Consider the following 22,864-nt stretch of genomic DNA (forward strand, 5'->3'; position numbering starts at 1 on the left):
TCATCTCTCACCTGCACTCCTGAAAGTGTCATATCTGGTTCTGTTTTTCACGATCTAACCCTCCTTCTAATCTGTTCTCCACCTGGCAGCTAGGATGTTCTTTGTTTATAAAAACTGGTTAAAATACACATAACATAAAATTTACCATTTTAACCATTTTTAAGTTGAAGTTCAGCAGCATTAAGAACATTCACTTTGTTGTGCAACCAGCACCATGATCCATCTCCAGAACCCCCTTCATCTTCTCAAATAGAAACTCTGTGCTCATTAAACAACCACTCCCCATTCCCGCCTTCCCCAGCCCCTGGCAACCACCGTTCTATTTTCTGTCTCCAGGAACCTGACTGTTCTGGTACCTCACATAAGTGGAATCTTGCGGTGTTTGTCCCCTTGTGCCTGGCATAGCATGATGTCCTCAGAGTTCATCCAGTCGTAGCATGTGACAGGATTTCCTTTGTTTTTAAGGCTAAATCATACTCTACATTTTGTGTATCTGTTCATCCGTTGATGGACACTGGGTGGTTTTAGAATGTTCTTTGCAAAAACGCAAGACTGATTGTATGACCGCAGGTGGGATGAGGCCCAAATCTTTAAAAAGCCATCAGGCTGTGCCCCCTTTGCAGGATCACCAGCCTCCCTCCATCCCAGGCCCCCAGTGTCCTCTCATTCCTCTGGGGCCTGGGCCTGGGAAGCTGTTCCCACAGCTTTTCACCTGGTTAACTCCTCACGCCAGTCCAATCCAAACCCAGGGTCCCATCCAAGTCAGAAGCACAGCCTCCTCTCTCAGGGCCCCTTGTGCTTCCTCCCAGCACAGCTCAGACCTGTCATTACACATCTGGTTCTGTGGGGGACCCCTGTTTCTGCCGGTGGACCCCTGTTTCTGCCGGTGGACTCCAAACCCAATGTTTAGCTCACCCCGGCAGTCCTGAATGCCTGACAGATAGGCGGCGCTCCACAGATGTGAATGTGGTGAAAGAATAAATGTTGGAAGGAGCATGGGGCTGGAGGCAGGCTAAATTTATTATTGATTGATTGATTGATTGATTGATTGATTGACAGAATCTTGCTTTCCCACCCAGGCTGGAGTGCAGTGGTGCAATATTGGCTCACTGCAACCTCCATCTCCTGGGTTCAAGCAATTCTCCCGCCTCAGCCTCCCAAGTAGCTGGGACTACAGGCATGCACCACCATGCCCGGCTAACTTTTTGTATTTTTAGTAGAGATGGGGTTTCGTCATTTTGGCCAGGCTGGTCTCGAACTCCTGACCTCAGGTGATTTGCCCACCTCAGCCTCCCAAAGTGCTGGGATTACAAGTGTGAGTCACTGTGCCTGGCCATTGCTTGAAGAATTTAGAGAATAAAACACCAGCACAGCACCCAGCATATAGTAGACACTCAGCAACATCACCGCCCTTCTTTTCTCTTACCCTAAATCTAGTCTGAAGGGAGATATGGGTGAGAACACATTTGCTCCCATAATTACCCTGAATTGTATTGGCTGACACGTAAAGCAGCATTTCCCTTGGAGAGAAGAATGGTGGAAAGGGTCTGGGGCCTTGGGTACCTTATAAGGTCCAGAAACCCTCTTGGCAAGGCCTGAATGCCCTACCTCAGCTCCATCAGCATTACCACCACCTGACCTTGTCCTGAGCCATAAGCCCTGGTGTTAGCTGTGGATACAGGAGCAAGGGCTTGGGGCAGGGGTGAAATTCTCCCTAGAACTACAACTGGAATGACACCCAGCAGGAGAAAGCCTCAATATGACTGTGTAAGATCACGGTGGTTCAGGAATCCCTTTTTTCCTACACTGTCCTGAGCAGGCTGAGCTCAGAACCACGAACATCTGCACACACGGGCAGCTGGCCCCGTCACCGGCCTCCAGGGGCAGTGCCCCCGCCATTATTAGTCATTACTAGAGCAAACATTAGTACAAGTACACACACAATTGCAGAATCATTGCTCTGATTGGAAACACTGGTGTGGAGTCTTGCAAGCATTCACTGGGTGAGACGGAAACTGTGAACTTGTTTTTCTAGGCTCAGACACTTCTTTCAGATCCAGGGCTGACAAAGAAAGGCCCATTACGTGGGGCACCTCCCCCAGGACTTCCTCTTCAAATATCAGCTAGATCAGGTTCCTTCTATGCAAATCATTTGCGCATTTATCCTGCTTTTCATTAACATAATATCTCCTGAGCCATCACCCTAGCCTCTCTCCTTTAAACATTTCACAGTCAAACGGAGCTCAACAGAAAGAGGGGTGATACCAGCGTCTTTGTTAAGGCGGTAGTCTTTATTCGTGTCTCCTCTGCCTGCTATATATTACTGTATGCCATAGCCACATCCAAAATGCTTTATTTTTTAGTGAAGAACAAAATAAAGCTGAGATGATCTACTCCTGGATTCAGAAGCCCCAAAATCTCAAGGAAATTGTGAATTCTACCTGTATGCACACAGTACACGATACTATGCTTGTTATCTATGAGACGGGCCAGATACTAGGTAGAACCTAAGAATAAATTGTGCAGCGGATGCGTTCTTTGCAAAAGACACTTATTACTGAGGACACATCTCCTCTGGATGGAGAAGTTATTCTGTGTAGGAGGGGGCTGAAGTGGGGGTTTCTACACCACCCTTTCTGGGAGAGCATGCTTCATTGCTTTGCCAGGTAGGGTCAGGTGGATGGGGTGGGCACCCCACAGTCCTATTCTGCTACTGACCACTTCCTCCCAATGGCACCTTTTTACAGTTTCTCACTTGATTTGTGCACACAAACACACAAGATCGTTCTTCTGGGGTCTGTATATGGTGATGTCGGCGTGTTTCCAATTCATTCTTCCTTTGTACCAGCACTTCGTAGGGAAACATAGGAGAGAACCCACTCGATGTTGTTAGGCTGAATTAATTTCATGTTTTGGGGTGGGAGGTAGGGGGACTTTCTGACTTCAAAGAGCCTTTGATTCTTATGTGATAAAACAGGGTACAGAACCATATATGATATAATCTTAGCTATGAATACAACCAACCCTGACACACCCACAAACACACACACAGGCTTGTGCATATATGCAATTTAAAAAAAGACTTCATACTGATACATCATAATGTTAAGAAAGCTTCTTCTGAGTGGCTGGGATTATCATTGGTTTTTAGTTTATTTTTTATTTTTTCTTTCAAAATGTCTATAGAAGCCTATATTACTCTTGTAATCAAAAAAGGTTACAAGAGTAACCTTTTATTTTGTTTCTTCTATAAAATAAAATCTTTTAATGTTTTTTCCTCTATAAAAATACCCTGGAAACTGATTAATTCTTAAGTAGTCATCAGGCAAATTTTTCAGAGGAATTAATTAACAGCTAGCTTAGAGCAAGGCATTGGAGAAATAGAACATGACATTAATATTCCAGGTTGAGGGAAAGATAGAGTGGTGACATGGAAGAGGAGAGGAGCTTGGCCATGCAGGATGATCTTACCAATGCCATGGCTTTCTTACTGGTGTTTATCTGGGACACACACATACACACAGCCTCTTCTTCTGCCATCTCCTAGTTCTGACACTCAGCCCTGAGCAGCCCTCAATCCAGCAGATGGAATACCTCCATGCCCAGGCTTTAAGGCCATAATCAAACTAATACTGTCTTAGTCTATTTTGTGCTGCTATACCAGAATACTTAAGAACATAAACTTTTTTCTCACAGCTCTGGAGGCTGAGTAGTCCAAGATCAAGACACTGTCATCTGGCAAGGGCCTTCTTGCTGAGTCCTCACGTGGCAGAAGACGGAAGAGTGAAAAAGAATCCAACTTCTGCTGTCAAGCCCTTTTAAAACAGTATTAATCTATTCAAAAGAGCAGAGCCCTTGTGACCCAAACACCTCCCAACACTGTTGCATCGAGATTAAGTTTCCAACATATGGATTTTGAGGGACACATTCAGATCATAGCAGATATTAGCAGTCAAGGTCCAACCAGGAAAATGAAAATATCTCCAAATATTTAAAATGAGGAAAATAAATTTAAGAATTGGCTTCATAAATGAAGGAAGAGCTAAGAGGCCAACAGGGACCATGAAGCCACTGAGAGATTAGTACCAGCAGGAAGCCACTCCATGCACTTGGACTGATCGTTTCTGGTAAACCCACGGCTAAAGAAACCACAGAGGGAGGGAAGGAATGTCCTGGTTTCTCCCTTCCTTCCTCTCGTCTTCTACCAGCACCTCCCATGCCAAACCCAGCTGGCAGCAGCTGCCCCTGAATCCCACTGTGATACCAAGCAGGGCAGGGGAAGGAGGAGTAACAGGTCTGAGGGCAGGGAAGCTACAGACTGGACACCACCTATCATTGGGTCAAAGAGCCTGGGAGCTGCCAGCTTGTCCCTTTCCCTCCCACCCTACTCCCCTGCCTGTTAGCAGGATGCACTTGAATCATGCCAGGTAATTTTTTCCTAGTCTATATCATCTTTGTGCCAGATCACAAAGATGAAAATATTACATTAGTTAAAAACGACCTCGTAGTCATTTTCATAAATGAGGGAACTGAAGTTTCAGAATGGCAGTCCCTCTCAGCCCTTGCTTCCAAGTTCCACCAAACTGAGAACAACTTCAGGGGCCAGAGAGGATCAGCTTTATAACTGAAGCTCATATGAAAACTAGTCTGCCCCTGGGCAAGGTAGGGGCTTTCTTCTCCCTTTCCCAAAGTCACCAACTGAAAGTCCTGAATGTCAGCAGGCCGAGAAGCAGGAAGGGGAAATCCTCTAACTCAGGAGGGGCGTCCCCAAGAGCATATAGACCCAAGGAATAGGAGAGGAGGGCTGGGGCTGGAGTTGCTTTTTGGGCACAGTGATCTTACCTCTGCCACTGTGGTCCAATAGACAGAAGGTCTTGCTAATTAGATTACTATCTCTCCCTTGTAGGGGACTGCTATGCTTTGAATGTCCATCCCATCCAAAATTCATGTTGAAATTTAATCCTCAAAGGGGCAGTATTGAGAGGTGGGGCCTTCACGAGATGACTGGATCATGAGAGGGCTCTACCCTCATGAATGGATTAATCTATTCGTGGACTAGTGAATTAATGAGTTATGATAATAGGACTGACTGCTTTACAGGAAGTGGAAGAGAGACCTGAACTAGCATGTGAGCTTGCTCAGCCCCTCACATGTGATGCCCTGCACTGCCTGGGGATTCTGCAGAGAATCCCCACCAGCAGGAAGGCCCTCACCAGATGCAGCCCCTCGACCTTGACCTTCTAAACCTTCATGACTGTAAAAAAGAAATTTTTTTTCTTTATAAATTACCCAGCTTCAGGTATTCTGTTATAAGCAACAGAAAACAGATTAGGACAAGGAGTGAAAAAAGAGGTGAGGCATCCAAAGCTCCCTTTATATTTCCCTGAGTGGTACAAATGTACATAGAAGATCCTATTTTATGAGCCAAGGCAGGAATTAAAGAAATGAAACAGGAGGGAGGCCTCCTCCCACCCACACCTCCACCCTCAACTGTGAAGATAACTTGGGGCATTTGGGGGCTCCCTCAGCATTGAAGTTGTAGTCATGATAGAAAAAAAGGCTACCTGGGGCAAACGGAGTAGGACAAAATAAACCCACCCATACCTGACAACGAGAGATAAACAGATGAGAGATAATCTGTTTATCTCTCATAAACCTCATTTAGCCTCATGTTTACATTTATTTCCAGTTCCTCAGATGGTCCTATTTTTGATAGGTAAATGTAATACAAAGGGATCATACATATGTATAGTTTTAAATTCTGCTTTAAAAAATAACATTATGTTATATATTGTATATTAGTAAGTATTATTCTAAAACATTATATTGGTAGGTTTATAGCAGGTCATCGAATGGCTGCTCAAAATTTAAATGTAGATTGTAAGACTTGCTCTACACAGTGTAAAAATATGGTCATACCTCTGCTATTAAAGCCGCAATTACTTTTGCACCAACTTGTCTTTTTGTTTCCTGTTTTGTTTTGTTTTTGAGACAGAGTCTTGCCCTGTCGCCCTGGCTGGGGTGCAGTGGCACGACCTTGGGTCACTGCAACCACCACCTCCCAGGTTCAAGCAATTCTCCTACCTCAGCCTCCTGAGTGGCTGGGACTACAGGCATGCACCGCCACGCTCGGCTAGTTTTTTGTATTTTTAGTAGAAACGGGGTTTCCCCATGTTGGCCAGGCTGGTCTCGAACTCCTGACCTCAAGGGATCCATCCACCTCAGCCTCCCAAAGTGCTGGGATTACAGGCGTGACTCCACCGTGCCCAGCCTATATTCTTTTGAAATTAATTGCTGAAGCTTCCCAGGCCCTTTGAGCGGAAAGTCCAACTTGTCCCTCTCAAAATTCCCTGCATTTCACCCAAGTTGTCCAAGAATGCTGGATCCTTCCTCAGCCCGGAGAGGACTCTAGGTAACAGGCTAGCAAAATGACAGCCGGGGCTCCAGCCTGCAGTTCCCGGTGGTTGCCACGTGGTGTCAGTGTTGAAGAGTAGTCCTGTACCCTGCAGCCGGCAATGACCATCCATCCTGGGATGTCCCTCCGCGTCTAGCCCCTTGTCGTTTACATTTCCATGCTCAGACATTGCCCTCTAAGACACAGCCACTAGGCAAGGCTTTTACGGGTCGGAGGTACTTCCAAGGTCAGCCATATACTTAATGCTCTGGAATCAATTCCACTACCAATTCTTTGGCCCTTGTGAAATTGGGACATGAAACTTGAATCTCCTTCCTGCAGGATAACTATTTCAACGTCTTGTTCACTTCCCTCTTACTAGATTTGAGTCCCCCTTTTGTACGTTTCTAATTTCAAATCAGACCTTTCTAATTTCAAATTTGAGAAAGTGGTGATTAGACTGCTGGCCCCTTTAGAAAACCCTGAGCTTCTCAGGGAAATCAGCCCACTTCTTCCCCAGCCAACAGCTCTGCAAATCAAGGACTATGTCAGATTTTGCTAAGCCATTCAGGGAAACAAAATGTTTTATGGTTTTTTGTTTTTGTTTTTGTTTTTAAATGGGTGCCTCCTTGTCCTCTGTTTATAAGAGACCACTGACACAATTCTTTATAGATCGAAGATCTGTTTCAGTGTGATTATCTATACCTGTGTTAAAATTTCTTTGTAAATAAAAATCTCATCCTCTATGTACCCCATGACCTGGTAGTTGTTCTATTGCTGGACTTCAAGTTGTTACTATGTTTTAAAAGTCATAATAATAAATAATGCTGACTTTTGGCTTAAAGATGTCAAATTGTCATGTGTTTATTTCCACTCCCTCCTGGTATCTTACTGAAATATATGACAACAACAAAAAAGTAAACAATGGGGGAAATCTCTGGCAGAGAGAGATAGTGGGAAAACATACCATTGATAGAGAAGAAACATGGAGACGTTCTGATGTAATAATAATGGCTATGTGGGTTTACTGTGCACCCAGCCTTGCTCAATGCCTTTACATGCATGCATTATCTCACCAAAGAATATGAGATAGGTGGAAGCTCCAAGCAAATGGAACTGGATTGCTGGGCACATGATACGGTTTGGCTCTGTGTCCCCGCCCAAATCTCATCTAGAATTGTAATCCGGACGTGTAGAGGGAGGGACCTGTAATCCCCATGTGTGGAGGTAGGGAGGTGATTAGATCATAGGGCGGTTTCCCCATGCTGTGCTCCAGATAGTGAGTTCTCACAGGTCTGATGGTTTTATAAGGGGTTCTTCCCCTTTCACTTTCTCTTCTTTCTTCTGCTGCCTTGTGAAGAGTGTGCTTGCTTCCCCTTCCGCCATGATTATAAGTTTCCCAAGGCCTTGCCAGCTTGCAGAACTGTGAGTCAATTAAACCTCTTTCCTTTATAAATTGCCCAGTCTCAGGGAAGTTCTTTATAGCAGTGTGAAAACGGACTAATACAGCACATCAAGCAACACTACTGTTTCTCCTTTTTCACACAGGAAAAGAAGAGGAGGGCTCCTCTGAGACCTCATTGGATGCATTTCCCAGCTTAGCCCAAGTGTGGGCTGCTCATGGGGTGTTGTGAGGGTGCGGGGATGGTTTGAAGGGCAAACGTGTCAGTGCGCTTCCGGGACCCCTCTCCAAGCCAGGCACCCAAACGCAGGACCGGGGACTCAGTCTACTCATGAGGACGAAGCTCAGCTTGGAAACCCAGATGCTCCACCTCCTCAGAACTCCTTCCAGCGATGCGGGGACAAGGTGATGCAGCCCCCTTCCCGTTGTCTGAACTTCAGCAGGTGCAGAGTGAGCACTTTGGTTGGAAATTCTTGACTGCGAGCTGTCTCCTGGGCTTCCCTCACAGGGGCCCCACAGTGCCCCAACCCTCCAGCAGGTGCCTGGACCCACTGCCATGCTGTTTCACTTGCCAAAATCAGGGGAATTCCTTTTCCTGGCTGGGCCTTTTCTTCTTTCCCAGTGAGCTGGGAGGTGAAAATTTTAGGACTCTATGAACAGAGACCAGTCAAGGCTCCTTATGGTTTTGTCCTTACTGCCCTTGATTTTCAGTCCAAAACCATTTTCAAGGACAACCTGCCATGACCTCCACTGGCTCAGCGTTCTGCCTGAAGGAGAGCTGCCTTCAGCAGCAGATCTCAGTTGCCCACCTTTTGGAGGTGGACCAAGGGGTCTTGCCTGCAACCAAATGACAACCTCAAAGTGGACCAGGTGTTTTCCTTACCTCATTTATAACCTGGGGTGTAAATGATTGGCAGTGGAAGGTCAAGCCGTAACTCCTGTGATGAATTGGGGCAGGTTAAATGGACTGATCTGTTTCTGTTCATCCATAGTAACATCATGCAGCCGCCCAGCAACATATTTGAACAAGAGTTTTGCAATCATCACACGCAAAATCTTTCTGTTGGAAAAAGGCACGCATATACCTTGGTAGAATATATTTGTTAATTGCTATTTGTTAGCTTCATCTTTTCTTCAAAATAGAGGAGAAATTATTACTTTGATAATGGGTAGAGGGGTTTCAGGCTTAAAAAGAGGAAATTTCCAAGGATATTAAGAATAAACACAGCAGCCAGGCGTGGTGGCTCAGGCCTGTAATCCCAGCACTTTGGGAGGCCGAGGTGGGCAGAACACGAGGTCAGGAGATCGAGACCGCCTGGCTAACCCGGTGAAGCCCCGTCTCTACTAAAAATACAAAAATTAGCCGGGTGTGGTGGCGGGTGCCTGTAGTCCCAGCTACTCCGGAGGCTGAGGCAGGAGAATGGCCTGAACATGGGAGGTGGAGCTTGCAGTGAGCCGAGATCGCACCACTGCACTCCAGCCTGGGCGACAAAGCGAGACTTTGTCAAAAAAAAAAAATAATAATAATAATAAACACAGCAGGGCAAAAACTGCTGTCTGCCATCTGCAGCCACACATGATGCTGGTTATTGAGGAGAGTGTGTCCATCTGGAATCAGATGCAATTGCTGAGGGAACTGCTGATGCTTGTATACCATGGCATGTGATACATGGAAGCAGACAATAACAACACAGAATCACTGGATATTTGTGGAGAATCAGCACCTCGAAGGAAAGAAAGTATTTCAAGCAATCAATATAAATACCTATCCCTACATATTATAGAGTTATTTCAGGAAACAAGAAATAAGACAATTATAAGTAGTATTCTTAGAAATATCCAGGCATGGCCTGGCGCAGTGGCTCAGGCCGGTAATCTCAGCACTTTGGGAGGCTGAGGCAGGCAGATCACTTGAGGCCGGGGGTTCGAGACCGGCCTGGCCAACATGGAGAAACACAGTCTCTACTGAAAATACAAAAATTAGCCAGTCATGGTGGTGCACACCTGTAGTCCCAGCTACTTGGGAGGCTGAGGCAGGAGGATCACTTGAACCTGGGAGGTGGAGGTTGCAGTGAGCAGAGATTGTGCCACTGCACTCCAGCCTGGGCAATAGAGGGAGACTCTCTCTGTGTGTGTGTGTGTGTGTGTGTGTGTGTGTGTGTGTGTATAGTTTTTGGATATGTATATATCCAAGCAGATATTCCTTCAATAAAGCAAGAGCAGACTTGGAAAAGAGCAATTAGATAAGAAAGAAGCGTATTTTAGAAATTAAAAATTCCAATGGAAACAAAAGATGATATACCCATACAATGAAATACTACTGAGGAATAAAAAGGGAAAAAATTACTGATACACTCTACGGCATGGATAAACCTCAAAAGCATTATGTTGAGCTAAGGAAGCCAGTTGCAGAAAGTGCATGCTATATGGTTTCTTTCATATAAAACTCGAACACAAGCGAAATTAATTGATGATATTAGAAATCGTTCGTGATTTCTGGGGAGGGGTCATGAATTGACCAGAAGGAGATGAAAAAACTTTCTGGGGTCATGGAAGTGTTTTACATCTTGACTGAATGGCTATACGGGTTATATGTATGCATTCATTACAACTGACTGTGCACTTAAAATTTGTGCATTCTATTGTATGAATATTATACAGGAATTTAAGAAAGGTGGCAAAGACTAATATGAATGGACTCCACTCTCAAAAACAACAGCAGCAACAACAAAACGCCTTTATATATACTCTGACTTATAGTAATTCAGCTGAAAACTGAATTAGTGAATTAGAGGAAAAGGTGATGGAAGTCATGAGAGATGGTGAAATATAAATGCAGTGTCACCATCACTTGTATAATAGGAATTTCATGATGAGAGAATAGAAGGAAAAAAATCACTGAGAATATGTAATAAATTGTTTCCTGAGTGGAGAAAAAGAGGCCGTTGAATGCCAAGTAGGAATTCTCAGAAAACTACCTCCAGTCTGGGCAACACAGCAAGGCTTCATTTCTATTAAAAAAAAAAATAGCCGGATGTGGTGGCACACACCTGTAATCTCAGCTACTCAGGAAGCTGAGGTGGGAGGATCGCTTGAGCCCAGGATAAGCCCGCAGTGAGCTGTGATAGTGCCACTGCACTCCAGCCTGGGTGAATGTATAATGTATGCTTTCGTCAATAGTGCACAAGAGGTAAGACTCTGTTTCAAAAAAAAAGAAAAAGAAAAAGAAAGAAAAGAGAGACAGAAAAAAAGAAAAACTACCTAAACATAGTCTGATGAAATTTCTCAAGCCTATGGTTAAAGGGAAAAATTTATAAGCTTCATGACAGGAAAAAAAAATACCGTCATAGAAAAGAGAATCAAACTTTTAACTTACAAACCAAATGCTAGAAGATTGTGAAACCACATTCCTAGGGTTTCCTCTTGGAAAAGATTGTTAGTAGCATTCCATACCCACTCAACTTATCTATCCTGTGTCAGGGTAAAGGAAGGCAGTCAGTATCCTATATACCTCCTCTGCTAAAAACAAAACAACAGTAAGAAACCTCAAGGCCGGGCGCGGTGGCTCACGCCTGTAATCCCAGCACTTTGGGAGGCCCAGGCGGGCGGATCACGAGGTCAGGAGATTGAGACTACCCTGGCTAACAAGGTGAAACCTCGTCTTTACTAAAAATACAAAAAAATTAGCCGAGCGTGGTAGCGGGCACCTGTGGTCCCAGCTACTTGGGAGGCTGAGGCAGGAGAATGGCATGAACCCAGGAGGCAGAGCTTGCAGTGAGCTGAGATCACGCCACTGCACTCCAACCTGGGCGACAGAGTGAGACTCCGTCTCAAAAAAAAAAAAAAAAGAAAAAAAAATTTCAAAACACCAAAATAGGGCAGGCGCAATGGCTCACATCTGTAATCCCAGCACTTTGGGAGGCTGAGGTGGACAGATCACGAGGTCAGGAGTTTGAGACCAGGCTGGCCAACATAGTGAAGCCCCATCTCTACTAAAAATACAAAAAAATTAGCTGGGCCGGGTGGCGTGAGCCTGTAATCCCAGATACTTGGGGGGCTGAGGCAGGAGAATTACTTGAACCCGGGAGGCAGAGGTTGCTGTCTGAGCCGAGATTGCATCACTGCACTCCAGCCCAGGCAACAGTGGTAGACTCTGGATCAAAAAAAAAAAAAAAAAAAAGGAAAGCATCAAAATAAATAATTCAGAAAAGATGAAGACAAAAAACAGTAATAAACAATAAGACCTGTAAAGTTTAAGTAATTGTTGGTAACACGGCTGTTTAGTACATTTTAAAGCTTTTTTTTTTTTTTTTTTTTTTCTGGAGACGGAGTCTCACTCTGTCGCTCAGGCTGGAGTGCGGTGGTGCAATCTCAGCTCACTGCAACCTCTGCCTCTCAGGTTCAAGCGATTCTCCTGCCTCAGCCTCCAGAGTAGCTGGGGTCACAGGCATGCGCCACCAAGCCCAGCTAATTTTTTTGTGTTTTCAGTAGAGACGGGGTTTCACCATGTTGCCCAGGCTGGTCTTGAACTCCTGACCTCAAGTGATCCACCTGCCTTGGTCTCCCAAAGTGATGAAATTACAGGCGTGAGCCACTGTACCCGGCCTTTAAAGCTTTCTTAAAGTAGAAGAGGCATCATGTAAAAAAAATAATAACATCAATCTAAACATCTGGACGATTTCAGCAGAGCTGGAAATACCCAGCAGGGGAGGCAGAGAGGAATTAGAAGTATGTGAATCACCCTTTTTTAAATCGAGGGAGTTATTTATATTGTTTAATTCTTGACACTGATGAAAAATACATTTTCAGATATGTCTTTTAGAATTGAAACAGGATTTTTAAAATGTTTCATTTCCCACTTTAGCAGCACATACACTAAAATTGGAATGACACAGAGCACGGCCCCTGAACAAGGATAACATGCAAGTTTGTGAAGTGTTCCATATTTTTGATGACTGGATAAAGAAAATCTGGTATATTTACTCCATGGAATATTATTCAGCCATAAAAAGCATGAAATCCTGTCATTTGTGGCAACATGAATGGAACTAGAGGACATTCTGTTAAGAGAAATAAGCCAGGAACAGAAAGTTAAACACCACATGGGATTCATTAGATTCTTACAAGGAGTGTGCAGTTCACAGTAAAGTTTGTGCTCCTATGAGACTCTAATGCTGCCAATGATCTGATAGGAGGCAGAGCTCAGGCTGTAATGCTTGCTGGCCCGCAGCCTGCCTCTGGCTGTGTGGGCCAGTTCCTAACAGGTCACGGACTGGTACAGGGATCCCTGCTCTAGAACAGTTGTATAATGTACACTTTCATCAATAGTGCACAATAACCATTTCATTGTAACTGCAGCAATACTGCATATTTTAATTTTAAAAAATTAGCGGCCGGGTGCGGTGGCTCATGCCTGTAATCCCAGCACTTTGGGAGGACGAGTCGGGCAGATCATGAGGTCAGGAAATGGAGACCATCCTGGCTAACACGGCTAACAAAACAAAACAAAACAAAAATTAGCCAATTTGTTAAAATTAAGAGTATTTAGGGGTAGCACTTCATTAATGTTGAAGTCTAACATTTTTTCTATATACTTATTTTTGTCAATTATAATTCCATTTATTTGAAACTGTAGAACATATATGGAATTGGGGGAGATTGTTTTTATTTTTGCTATTTATATAACTTGTGTAAGTTGCTTTGTAAGTCTTTTACTCATTTTTCTAAGAGACTTAATATTTTTCTTGTGGATTTTCGTAAACTTTTCACATATTAAAGACATTAATTCCTTATCCTATTTCCTTCAAATATTTTCCCAGTTTTTCATTTGCCTTTCAGTAGTGCCCTTTGACATATTCAGAATGATTCAATTTGGTCTTAAAATTTATTTGTGCTTAGATAAGTTCTTATGCATCTAAAAATCAGATATGCATATTTACTGGTTTTTGTTTGTTTATATTTTACTCTATATTCCATGTGAAATTTTAACCTATATGATGAAATGGGAATTTAACTTTATTTCCCCAAATAAGTAATAATTTGTACAACACCGATACAGTCCTGAACTCGAATCCTGGCCCAGAGATGAATTCTTGCTTGACCTTGGACACGTTACTTAATCTCTTTAAACATTGCTTTTATCATCTGTAAAATGGAGATAATAACACCTACTTTGTAGAGTTATAATAATTAAATAATATAATAAATGCAAAATTCCTAACAAGTATCCTGTTTAATAACTGTGAAGAGCCTGAGATTTTACCCTACTTGCCAGCTGACAAGTTAGCCTGCCAGTTTCACAGATGCTGGCAGAAGACCCAAGACTCCTGGATCAGAAACAAAGGACTTTATTATTATCTAATGCACAGCAGGCAGCAAGAGCATCACCATATGTGCATCAGTTCTCCTTGACTGAAGTCCCATGGTGGTGAAAGGATGAGCCCAGATAATTACCTAAACATGAAGTGGGTTGCATTATAGGAGAGGAACTCTGAGTTTAGCTTATCCAAATCTTCTAAAGCGTTCAGTAAGCATGCCTGCCCTTTGCTCTGTGGGAGCACCTCTATTTTCCAAGGCTGTTTGCTAAATGAACAGCCATAAAAAGATAATCTAAAACAAAGGAGAGTTAGTCCCCCACAAGACTTGCAGAAAAGTGAAAGACCCATGGAGAATTGTCTCCCAACACCTGCATGTTCAATAAATGGAATTGTGTTTGTTATTATCTACTAAATTATTGTATACATCTGTCTTTGGGCTTTCTATTCTCTTTTATTTTATTGGCACTATGTTTATGTAATCTTATGTTCCATGAGAAAAATCTATGTTAATTTAAAAAAATTACTTTTATATAAAAGCTGAACAGATGATGAATTTAAATAACGTCATATATAGCAAAGTTAAACAACTTTGCTATATATGGTTTCGGTTATGGTAGAAAAATTGGTTCACATGGAAATCATCCCCCACTTCCTTTTGTGCTCTAAATACATAACAATGATAGACAAAACATCTTTAGCAACATGTGAAAGACATAACTATCTCAAAAACAAGATAAACATATCTGGGAACCACAGTCAGGATAGAAACGTGAAGGCATTATTACATAAAACCACAAGCCTCCTGGGCTCCAGATCCAGAAGCAGGCAAAACTGGCCACAGGGCTGCCACAGTACACTACTATAGGGGCAGCATTCATATTGCTGGGTTTTTTAAAAAAATATTTTTATTTTTCTCTTTAGAAAAAAAAGGACAGACACATTGTTATCTATGTGAATGGCCTCTCCTGGAGCACAGCTCCATTGGAGGGAGGGAACCAGTTTCATTCATAAAGCAGCCTAGAAAACAGTGTGACAAAGTTGAGAATGCTGCTGATCCGGACTGTGTTGGTATGGAGCTGCATGTATGCTGGAGTGAACATTTGTCATTTGTGGCTGCTTAATATTTTGACCACTGCCATGGTTTGAATGATGCCTCCAAAACTCATATTGAAATGTAATTGCCATTGTGATGGTATTAAGAGGTGATTAGTCATGCAGGCTGTGCTGTCAGGAATGGAGCAATGGTATTGCCATGGGAGTGGGTTTGTTACTGCGAGAGTTGGACCCCTTTCCCTCTCAGTCTTGCTTGCTCTGGCCTCTTGCCATGTGATACCTTCCATGTTATGATGCAGCAAGAAGACCCTCACCAGACGTGGCCCCTTGGTTTTCGCCTTCCCAGCCTCCATAGCCATGAGCCAAAGAAATATTTTTTTATTATAAATTACCCAATCTGTATTCTTGTTATACCTGCAGAAAAACAGACCAAGACAACCACCTTGCCCTCATTGTGGTAATTCTCCATATTGAGTCTTGCCTTCCCATAGCAGAAGCCAGAAAATGTGCATTCCAGGAGTTCCTTGAAACTAGGCTCCAGGCATGGGACCTTGTCTCGGCCAATCAGGTGTATCCCCATGAGACGCGGACTTGGGTGAGCAAGGTGTCAGAGACTGATTGTGTTCCCCTAAAATTCATATGTTGAAGCCCTCGTAAAGATAAAGCCTTTAAGAAGGCAATTGAGGGCTAGGCGCGGTGGCTCATGCCTGTAATCCCAGCACTTTGGGAGGCTGAAGCCGGCAGATCACGAGGTCAGGAGATCAAGACCATCCGGCTAACACGGTGAAACTCCGTCTCTACTAAAAACACAAAAAATTAGCCGGGCGTGGTGGTGGGCGCCTGTAGTCCCAGCTACTCGGGAGGCTGAGGCAGGAGAACGGTGTGAACCCGGGAGGCGGAGCTTGCAGTGAGCCGAGATCGCACCACTACACTCCAACCTTGGCGACAGAGTGAGACTCCATCTCAAAACAAAACAAAACAAAAAACTAAAAAAACCCGAAAGCAATTAAGGTTAAACGAGAACACAAGGATGGGGCCCTAATTCAATAGGACTAATGTCCTTACAGGAAGAGGAAGAAACAGGAGGGATGTGGACACACAGAGGAAAGGCCATGTGAGGACACGGCGAGGAGGCACTGTCTGCAAGCCAAGGAGAGAGGCCTGCTGCTATGGTCTGAATGCTACCCCCCAGATTCATACATTGAAACTTCATGGCTAGTGTGATCGTGTTAAGAGGTGGGGCCTTTTGGGGGTGATTAAGCCTTGAGGGCAAAATTCTCATGGATTGGACTAGGGCTCTTATAAAAGGGGTTGAGGCAATGGGTTTGCCCTCTTCTGTTCTTCCACTGTGTGAGGACACAGTGTTCATCCCCCCCGGAGGAGACCAGGCCCTCACCAGACACGAAACCTATTGGTGCCTTGATCTAGGCCATCCAGCCTGCAGAACTGTGATAAATTTATTTCTGTTTTTTGTTGCTGTTGTTTGTTTTTTGAGACGGAGTTTTGCACTTGTTGCCAGGCTGGAGTGCAGTGGCACAATCTCAGCTCACTGCAACCTCCGCCTCCGGGTTCAAGTGATTCTCCTGCCTCAGACTCCCGAGTAGCTGGGATGATAGGCATGTGCTACCATGCCTGGCTAATTTTGTATTTTTAGTAGAGATGGGGTTTTGCCATGCTGGTCAGGCTGGTCTCAAACTCCTGACCTCAGGTGATCCACCCGCCTTGGCCTCCCAAAGTGGTGGGATTACAGGAATAAGCCACCACGCCTGGCCTAAATTTCTGTTTTTTAAGCCACACAGTCTGTGCCACATGCTGACAGAGGCATCTATTTATTTGGGGGACAGCAATGGTGCAGAGTTGGTACCTGGTTCTGAATATCATCAGTGAACAAGTAGCAATGGTGTTTTTGCTAAAATAGACCCTGTGATGTCATTGGGCATCGTCCCTAGTTGTGTAGCTCCAGAGCTTGGTTTTTTAGCCCTGCCAGAGACCCTTGAGTTACCTAACATCCTATCAAAAGTTCCTTTTCTGCTTAAACACCGCTGTTATTTGCACCTAATACCCCCAATCGATACAGTAATTTTCTGTAGAAGACAGCATTGCAGAAAACCTGACTGCAGTGTCTTAAATACAAGGAAAGTTTGTGTCATGCTCCAGGCATCCTTGACTTGGGCTGGCCAGGTGGGTACAAGGGTTTTTTTTGTTTGTTTGTTTGTTTGTTTGTTTGTTTTTTTGAGACGGAGTCTTGCTCTGTTGCCCAGGCTGGAGTCCAGTGGCGCGATCTCAGCTCACTGCAAGCTCCGCCTCCTGGGTTCGTGCCATTCTCCTGCCTCAGCCTCCCAAGTAGCTGGGACTACAGGCGCCCGCCACCACACCCAGCTAATTTTTTTTTTTTTTTTTTTGTATTTTTAGTAGAGATGGGGTTTCACTGTGTTAGCCAGGATGGTCTCGCTCTCCTGACCTCGTGATCCACCCGCCTCGGCCTCCCAAAGTGCTGGGATTACAGGCATGAGCCACGGCGCCCGGCCTAGTACAAGGGGTTTTATGAGGGACTCAGGCTCCTTTCTCACCGTTGTCTGCTGTCCTCCCTGTGGAGCGTTTGTCCTCATGGCTATAAGTTGCCTGTTGCATCTTCTATATCGGGCGTCAGCAAACTTTGAAGGGGCCAAATGATGATGAACGCTGTGTCCTCACGTGGTGAAGAACAGAAAAGGGCAAACCCACTCCTAAGCCCTTGTGTAAGAGCCCTACTCCAATCCATGAAGTGGGGGCCATAGGTCTTTGCTAGAGCTACTCAAGTCTGCCATTGCAGCATGAAACAGCCACAGACACGTGTATATAAATGGGCATAGCTGCGTTCCAAAACACTTTATTTATGAAACCAGGCAGCAGGTGGAACTGGGCCCGTGGGCCACAGTTTGCGGATCCCTGTTCCATATCCAGGAGGAGGAGGAAGCAAGGGCCAGAGTCAGCACCTTCAGCTTAAAGCTCAATGGCCAGAGCTGTGTCGTATGACTACCCCCAACTGCAAAGGCAGTTGGAAGTCTGAGCATCTATTAACATTTACAGCCTTTAGAGCAGGGCCCCCCAAACATTTTCATGCCATGTGATGCATAGAAAATAGGGGTACATGTTTGATGTTACTTACTGCCAACTGGATATGGGGCAATGGCTGGCCCAAATCCTACTTGGCTGCCGCAAAGGTGGAAGGGATCAATTTCTCGGTCACACCTGTAACCCATTTGCAGATGCTGATTGGAAAGTTCTGCCCTGGAGTCAGACAGGCAAGGAAGAAGGTTGTAGGACAGAACAAGCTCCCCCACATGTGTACAGACTCAGGGACTGTATCTTTAATATTCTTATGGCACAAAAACTCCCAGGCACCACGGAAAACCTGGTTTTCATTAAATACATATTCTAAACTTTGATTGCAAAATTCTTCATAAATAGAGCATTCTTAAAATGTTTTTTAACATGGTGTGACACTCTTATTCTGGTACTTCCCAGGAAGTGGGAGTTGACACTTCAAATTGTAGTTTCTCCACCAGAAATAAGGGCTTCTTTTTGCATCCTGTGAGTAATTGCGACAGGGTGACAAGACACCCTAGCACTGGCCAAAACCACAAAGCTCCATATTTTTGGATTAGTGTGGATATTTAAAAAATTATTCCAATCCCTCACAAAGCTTTCTCTCTGCCCAGGCCCAGCTCTGGCTTTCCCTGGGCCCTCGAGTTCCCCAGTTCTTTTGTGCTCAAGCCCATGCTGTATTTCTGCTTTGCTTTACTTCTTGTGACTGAGACACACACGGTGTGATGGAACAGTGGTCTCTAGGCTGCCTTTGCCATAACTCCAGGTATATTCCCTGAAACATGTTTAACCATTCTCTGTACCTGGCCCATATTTGCTTTGCTGCACATAATATAATACTTTGCTAGTGGCCCTTAAGCAGGAGAATATGTATTGTTTACTTAACAAAAAGTTGAGAGGTGGGCAGCCTGAGGGTGGGTTTGGCAACTCAACAGTGTTACTGGGTGTCTTTTTTCTTCATGGACACAAGCATTGGCTTCTCCTGACAACACCCATGAAGGAAAGGGATGGTTGTCAAAGCCTTTCTCTCCCTGCACCTCTCTTAGAGAAGGAGCCCCCAACATATTTCTCCATATGTCTCACTGCCAGAATTGGGCCACAGCCCAGTCTTAAATTAAACAATCGCAACAAGAAGAGGAGACTAGCCAATCGCAAATCAACCTACACCGCTGAGACCAATCATGGATCAACCTGCATGGCTGAGACTAATCACAAGTCAACCTGCATGGCTGAGACCAATTACAAATCAACCTGTATGGCTGAGACCAATTACAAATCAACCTGCATGGCTGAGACCAATTACAAGTCAATCTGCATGGCTGAGACCAATCACAAATCAACCTGCATGGCTGAGACCAATTACAAGTCAATCTGCATGGCTGAGACCAATCACAAATCAACCTGCATGGCTGAGACCAATTACAAGTCAATCTGCATGGCTGAGAGCAGTCACAAAACAGCCTGCATGGCTGACATCAATCACAAGTCAACTGGCATGGCTGAGCATACTACTGACCAGACAAAAGGGGATTCCAAGAGCAAGAGACAGGAAGGATGGTTATTGGGTAGAAAACCAATAGCACCTGCCATTGTCCCCTCAGCTCTGAGTCAGTTTCCTTGGTGCTTGTTCCTTAGAGTGCAGAGGTCCTGTCTTCTGTGCCTTTATGATCCCCTCTTAGAATCCACTAGAGTGGCCTGTCCAAACGGAGATTAAAAAGATATTTTTAAAAAATATGTGTTCTCATGGAATACTACTCAGCATTTAAAGGACAAATTACTGGCACGTGGAACAACATAGATGAATGTCACCAATGATATTATGCTGCGTGAACACAGCCAGCATACTACTTTTTTGTAGCATACTGCAAAGAGTATATACTGTATGATTGCCTTTATATGACGATAAATAGAACAGCTAAAAATAATCAAAGGTGGAAAAAAATTCAGAACAGTGGCTACCCATAAGGGGTGTGGAGATTGCCTGGGAAAGGAGCCAAAGAAGCTTTCTGGGAGAAGTAAAATGTTCTATTTTGTGTAATGTGTGGATTACAAGGGTGTGTCTATTTGTCAAAATCATACTGCTAAGCTGTCAGTGCGTTTGAGTGTATGCACCTTTTACAATAATAATTGAGTGTGGGGAGTGGGGAATGAGGGAGCTGTAGAGATAAAACAAGAATGACAGAATGTTGTGAATTGTTGGAGCTGGTGGATGAGAACTTGGAACATGGGGTTCACTATCTTTATTGTTTATTTTGTATGTTTGAAATTTTCTAGAATTAAAAATTGTTCAAAAAGTATTTCTCCCTTCTCTTTCATGCCACTGGGTTTTTAGTTTGCATCTCCTCTCTCCGAGGCTCTTCTCAGAGAAAGACCTGGATAAGCAGGCTTCTGCTGCCTTCTGGCATCAGGGGGCTAGAACTTAGTATTGTAACCATGAGCATCTCCGTCATCGGGCAGGGGGCCCAAGTGCAGGCTCCACAATGTGCAATCTGACTCCTTGGAAACAGAGATGCCTACTCTCCCTGTGTGCCTGGCCTCTAGCACAACAGCCTGCTCAGAGTGGGTGCTCAGCAAATGTTTGGTGAATGAATAAATGAATTATGAATTAACAGAAGAATGAAACTAATAAATGATCGTTGCAATAACCTGTAAAAAAACTTTTCAAAAAAAAGTGTATCATAGGCAGGACCCAATTTATATAAATGGATCATGCTCCAAAGAGTCATTTGTCACTTGTTTGGATTTCTTGAATTTCTTCTTAGTTGTAAAGTTTCCAGATCAGCCACTAAATGTGGTGACCTACTTCGAGTGAAAACGTGTAACATCGTTTCAAAGGAAAAAAATGCATTCTGAGATCTACCTCCAGAAAACCAGTCTCTAGTTGAAAGCTACCCGTCGCCCTGCAGCCTGGCCTGCAGCTCTACTTTCCTGACTTATACAGCCTGGCTGACTGTAAGATGGAATTAAGTAGTCTGTATTTACTGAGAGGCAATTACTCAAAGCAAGGTGGACAATACAACCTCCTGGAGGCTGTCCTGTCCCATGTTCTATCTCATTTCCCATTACAAAGGGCAGCTTCAGAATTTCTACCCAGGAAAGGGCTCAGGGCCCTTGTCTAGAAGCTGTGTTTGTTTTTATTTACATCACAGATGTATTTACAGTTGCTTAGCAGGGGTGGCAGAGGCCCCCTAAGGCACCCCTGGGCACTGTCACTCCTCATACGTTGCAGTTGTTATTGCTTTTACAAATATGAATCTTCCACCAGTAAATGGCCTGCCTGGTTACGGCAAGCTTTGTGCTGTTTTCCACACCATTAACCCCATCACCTGGTCAGCACTCCATAGCTGTTGTGGAACGGTGATGTCTGGGAGTGAGGCAGCTGAGTGTGGTGCACGCATGGGGTCTGCAGGTGCTTCCAGACCCCTAGCAGAACATCGCCAACCACTGCAGGCTGGGGCTTGGTTGTACCCCTTTGCAGGTGGCTATGGAGGCATCTCCCATGGGTATTGAAGGAATGATGTCTAGGAGACAGAAGAATGTTTACCCCATGCTATGTGCTAGTGTTTTGATGTACATGATCTCCTTTTATCTTCACAAACTACCCAGTGAGAATTAGCTAAGTAGCCCCATTTAACAGACAAGGAAACAGAGGCTTGGAGTGTTGTTCTGCTTGGAGATAAGAAAGTGTATAAACTCACTAAGATATCTAATCCTCAGGGCCAAAGCCCTCAGCACGTTGAGGACACTGAATCCCTCCTGTCCCCAAGCTCCATTACTATTATGTTGCAGCTACTTCTTGGATGTCAAAAAAATTTCATCCTACAGTCAGCCAGGCTGTATAAGGCAAGAAAGTGGAGCTGCAGCCCAGGCTGCAGGGTGACACGTAGCCCCCTTACCACCCACTCAAGGACACCCAGTGTGTTGGTGTCTTATTCCCACTGTCACGAATGAACACAAACCGAGTGACTGAAACCAACATACATGTATTCTCTTACCGTTCTGGAAGCCAGAAGTTCAGGCTCAGTTTCGCTCAGCGAACATCCAGCTGTCAGCCAACTGGTTTTTCCTGGAGGCTCTGGGGGGATTCCATTTCCTTGCTTATTCCAGCTTCTAGAGGCTGCTGAATTCCTTGGCTGATCCCCCTGCCTTACACCCCTTCTACCCCTTGCTTCCCTTGCCCCGTCTCTTACTTCTGTAGTCTAATCTCCCCTGCTTCTCTCTTGAGAGGGCCCTTGTGATGATGGGGGCCCACTTGGATAATGCAGGATCCGTACTCAGTCCCATCTGCAAAGTCCATTTTGCTGTATGAGGCAACATTCGAAGTTCTGGGGATTAGGCCAGGGGCGTCCTATGGGGGCCATCACTCAGCCAACCACATTCAGCACCACCGCAAAGATCTGGTGTGGGCAGGCCTAGGGGCAGGGTCAACATGCCAGGAAGAGAATGAACTTGGAAATGGAAATACCAACATTTCACTTGTTTAAGGATAGAAGAGAAAAATCATCCCACTGCAACTTGAATGAATTGACCATTTCTACTTTTCCTGTTTCCCTTCCTGTCCTTGGCTAAATGCAGAGGTAATTTTATATAATTGCAGTGATAGGATTAATA

At 44.5% G+C, this 22,864-nt stretch overlaps 1 pseudogene, besides 1 other annotated feature; it reads left to right on the plus strand.

The window, feature by feature from the left end:
* Positions 7,606-7,805: an enhancer, noted in NCBI's record as "active region_7508". NCBI's record gives its function as "activates an Ori minimal core promoter by ATAC-STARR-seq in GM12878 lymphoblastoid cells {active_cell/tissue: GM12878}" and the evidence as "EXISTENCE:reporter gene assay evidence [ECO:0000049][PMID:35858748]".
* On the plus strand, positions 12,652-12,746 carry RNU6-63P (RNA, U6 small nuclear 63, pseudogene; annotated as a pseudogene).

The sequence above is a fragment of the Homo sapiens genome, chromosome 13 (assembly GCF_000001405.40).
Source record: "Homo sapiens chromosome 13, GRCh38.p14 Primary Assembly".
Taxonomy (NCBI): Eukaryota; Metazoa; Chordata; class Mammalia; order Primates; family Hominidae; genus Homo; species Homo sapiens.